General features: G+C 40.1%; 1 annotated feature.

Moving 5' to 3' along the window:
• Positions 422 to 923: an enhancer, noted in NCBI's record as "NANOG hESC enhancer chr9:23382258-23382759 (GRCh37/hg19 assembly coordinates)". NCBI's record gives its function as "activates a minimal SCP1, AML or CMV promoter by ChIP-STARR-seq in primed H9 embryonic stem cells {active_cell/tissue: H9 hESC(primed)}" and the evidence as "EXISTENCE:reporter gene assay evidence [ECO:0000049][PMID:30033119]".

The following is a 4655-nucleotide window of genomic DNA, read 5'->3' as shown; positions in this document are numbered from 1 at the left end:
CACTGATGCAAGAAGTGGGCTCCTATGGTCTTGGGCAGCTCTTCCCCTATGGCTTTGTAGGGTACAGTCCCACTCCCAGCTGCTTTCACAGGCTGGCATCCAGCATCTCTGTCTTTTCCAGGCACGTGGTGCAAGCTGTCAGTGGATCTACTACTCTGGTGTCTGGAGGATGGTGGCTCTCTTCTTACATCTCCACTAGGCAGTGTCCCATTGGTGACTCTGTGCGTGGGCTCTGATCCTACATTTCCCATTTGCATTGCTCTAGCAGAGATTCTCCATGAGGGCGCCACCCCTGCAGCAAACTTCTGCCTGGACAACCACGTGTTTCCATATATCCTCTGAAATCTAGATGGAGGTTCCCAGACTTCAATTCTTGACTTTTGTGCACCTGCAAGCCCAACACCATGTGTAAGCCACCAAGGCTTAGGGCTTACACCCTCTGAAGCAATGGCTTGAGCTGTACATTGGCCCCTTTTAGCCATGGCTGGGATGCAGGGCACCAAGTCCTGAGAATGTGCAAAGCAGCAAGGCCCTGGGCCCAGCCCATGAAACAATTTTTTTCCTCTTAGATCTCTAGGCCAGTGATGGGAGGGGCCGTGAAGACCTCTGGCATGCCCTGGAGACATTTATCCCATTGTCTTGGTGATGAACATTTGGCTTTTCTTTACTTACGTAAATTTCTGTAGCCAGCTTGAATTTCTCCTCAGAAAATGGGTTTTTCTTTTCTATTGCATTGTTAGCTGTGAAGTTTTGGAACTTATGCTCTGCTTCCCTTTTAGATATAAGTTCCAGTTGCGAACCATATCTTTGTGAATGCATAAAACTTAATGCTTTCAAGAGCCCTCAAGTTACCTCTTGAATACTTCGCTGCTTAGAAATTTCTTCTACCAGGGATGCTAAATTAGCTCTCTCAAGTTCAAAGTTTCACAGATCTCTAGGGAAGGGACAAAATGCCACCAGTCTATTTGCTACAGCATAGCAAGAGTCACCTTCATTCCAGTTCCCAACAAGTTTCTCATCTCCATCTGAGACCACTTCAGCCGGGATTTCTTTGTCCATATCATTATCAACATTTTGGTCAAAGCCATTCAACAAGTCTCTTAGAAAGTTCCCAACTTTTCCACATCTTCCTGTCTTCTTCTGAGCCCTCCAACGTGTTCCAATCTCTGCCTGTTATCCAGTTCCAAAGTTGGTTCCAGATTTTCAGGTTTTTTTATTGCAGCACTCAACTCTCTGTGGTACCAATTTGCTCTATTAGCCCATTTTCATACTGCTATAAAGAACTGCCTGAGATGGAGTAATTTATAAAGGAAAGAGGTTCAATTGACTCACAGTTAAGTGTGGCTGGGGAGGCCTCAGGAAACTCACAATTATGGTGGAAGCCAAAGGGCAAGCAAGCCACCTTCTTCAGAAGGTGGCAGGAAGGAGAAGTGCCTAGTGAAGTAGGGAAGATACAAAAAATTAGCCAGGCCTGGTGGCAGGTGCCTGTGGTCCCAGCTACTCGGGAGGCTGAGGCAGGAGAATGGTGTGAATCCAGGAGGCGTGGCTTGCAATGAGCGAAGATCATGCCACTGCACTCCAGCCTGGGCGACAGAGCGAGACTCTGTCTCAAAAAAAAAAAAAAAAAACCAAAAAAAAAAAACAGATCTCATGATAACTCATTCACTATAATGAGAACAGCATGGGGGAAAATGCCCCCATGATTCAATTACCTCCACTTGGTTTCTTCCTTGTCACATGGGTATTATGGGGATTCCAATTTAAGACGAGATTGGGGTGGGGGCAGAAAACCCAACCATATTACGCAAAAAGTAATGTTGGGCAAAGTTTTCATGATTTCTGACCACCTCAAGAATGTTTTATAATATTAATACATTATTCTTGATCCTCTTTATTACTAGATCTCCAGAGATTCGGACTGCTGGAAAATTTTAACATGTATTTCCAGTCAAATATCTCTTTGCTAGATGAGATGATTTTTGCTAAAATTTAGAAATTCTACTTTGATAAATATGATATGCTTAACTTTTTGCACTTTGATGTCATCTTATAAACAAATCTGAATGGGGAGCCTAGAAAGCATGTGTGTGTGTGTGCATGAGTGTTATCTGTTAGTATATTGACTGTACTGCATTACCTGCTCTGCTGGTGAGAACACAGGGTTATTATTGGATCATGAGTCTCCTATACCAGCTGGGTATACCTTGCTTCTTGATCACATTCATAGTTTCTACTAATAACTTTACTAATGAGTAATTTTAAGCCCTGAAAGAATTGAACAAAGATTGTTAAAGAATAGGGAAATTCTACATTGCTCCAAAACAAATTCCAAATTCATGCTTGTGAATCAGTGGACTGTTTGCCTTGTGGTATTAACAAATACAATTTTGTGGAGTACTGTATATCTATATTCAAAGACACTTTCATGAATTCTGAGTAAAATGTGATTTGCATGAACATATGGACCCTTCAAGGGGCTTAGAGACTTAAAATGAGATGCATAATGTAAGCAAATGAATAAAATAGTTACAAAGGTCCTGGTAGAAGTGTCTATAAAGTATAATGGGAACACAAAATAAGGACTATAGTCACTGTAGATTCTGGAAAGTCTTAAATAGAGGAAGGGACACAAAATATGCTTTGAAGAAGTGAATAAAATTGCAGGGTAAGATAGGAGGAAAGGGAATTACACTTGGAGGGAACAACATGTGCAGGGGCCCAAGGCCATTTGGGAATACTAGCAGCTAGTAGCTTTTTAGAGCTGGAATATATGGAGTAAACAGGCTCTGGGAGAAGAAGCTTCAGAGAAAGTAAGGGGTCCAGAGATATGAAAAGGCTGGATGTTTGTTCTTATCTCAAGAGTTTCACTTTCTGCATGAAAGGGAGACAGGAAGGATTGAAATCACCATCATATTTCAAGGCCAAAGTTGTGTTTTAAAAATAATTCTATGTACATTACAGAGACTGATTAGAAATCTACTAAGAATTGTTTTTTGTTTGTTTTTTCTTTTCTTTTCTTTTCTTTTTTTTTTAGAAAAAATGAGCCATGAGTTATGATTGTGCCATTTCCAGCTTGGCTCTCACTCTGTCACCCAGGCCAGAGTGCAGTGGTTTAATCATGGCTCATTACCGCCTCCGCCCCTGGGCTGAAGCAATCCTCCTGCCTCAGCCACCCAAGCAGCTGAGACTGTGTGCACGTGCCACTATGTCCAGCTAATTTTTGTATTTTTTGTAGAGATGGGGTCTCATTGTGTTGCCCAGGCTGGTCTCGAATTCCTAGCCTCAAGCATTCCTCCTGCCTTGTCCTCCCAAACTGTTAGGATTCCAGGCATGAGCCACTGCACCTGGCCTACTAAGAGGTAATCTGACAGAACTTTGATGTAGTCTACCCAAATGCAGTAAAAACAATCTTCTTAAAAGTCCAGCATAGGTGCAGCTACCTTCAGGGACTTCTTTGATACTCTTTACCTTTCATTGTGTGTGTGTGTGTGTGTGTGTGTGTGTTTGTGTGTTTGTGTGTGTGTCCACAGAAACAATGAATAAGGCATGCTGTGATATCAGTAGGTATTTCTATCTACACCTAAATCTATAATTCAGACATTTATGCCTTCATCTTACTGCACAGATTAGACCAGTGAGATAACAAGGGGGAGGGAGGAAGTAGAAGTATTTAAAAGTAAAGCAAAGACTGGAATAGTCAAACATGAATTATACAAGCACAAAAATCTTTAATTTTGGCAATTCCTAAAAGACAGCAAAGGGCTGGAATCTTTATGGATAAAAGGTTTCCAAAAGACATTATGTAGAAAGAATTCAATAAATATAGTAGGTTCAGAGAAAAATCAACAGCTAAGAAAGACAAGCCCAATATAAGGATGCCTGCTGAGGTAGGCCAATCTAACTCAATTGATGATGCCTTGAAGAAAGATAGTTTTCAAGCAATAATCTGGAAAGACAGGAGATTTAAGAAAATAAAGAAGAGGTAGTTAGAAATATATTATGCTTGCTAGCAGGAAACATTGCATTGATTTTTCCTTAATAAAATGTTAATGGGTTCCTCAGAGGAATTCTTGGCTTAAAATTTGGGGACATCCCAGACTTTGCGAAGAAACCAGTACTTTCACAAATGTATCAAACATTGGCCAAGTAAAATGACTCAGGATTTAAATTTAGAGATGCTAATATTAGTCATTACAAGGAATTTTAAAAAAGATGAACTCAGACAGTTTAAGTAATATGTTCCAATGAAATTAACAGAAAAATCATTGATATATATGCATATATGTATGTCTGTGAGTTTATAATTTTGTGGAAATAGAGGTTGAAAATAAGACATAAAGAACTCAGGTGTGAGTTAAGGCACTCCCAGGGATGTAGCCAAGTTCTGCATTTAACCCAGTTAACTATATACCTTTATGAGTCTCCAAAAGTCTGAAGTTGGGGACAAAAAAATTCATGTCTAGAAATTTGAGTGTTTATATTTTTCAGAAGTGATCTGTTCTAGAAGATGAGGTACACTAATAAAACTTGTTAAAGAGTGAACTAACCAGAATAATGTATACATTTATAATAAGAAATTTAGCTTCTAAGCAAATCGATAGACTTGTGTCAGGTGATGTGTACAGTGTGGGAAAAGATATGTGGACAGGCAAGCT

This window comes from Homo sapiens, chromosome 9, assembly GCF_000001405.40.
Source record: "Homo sapiens chromosome 9, GRCh38.p14 Primary Assembly".
Classification (NCBI taxonomy): domain Eukaryota; kingdom Metazoa; phylum Chordata; class Mammalia; order Primates; family Hominidae; genus Homo; species Homo sapiens.
This window is presented reverse-complemented; position numbering and strand designations above follow the sequence as displayed.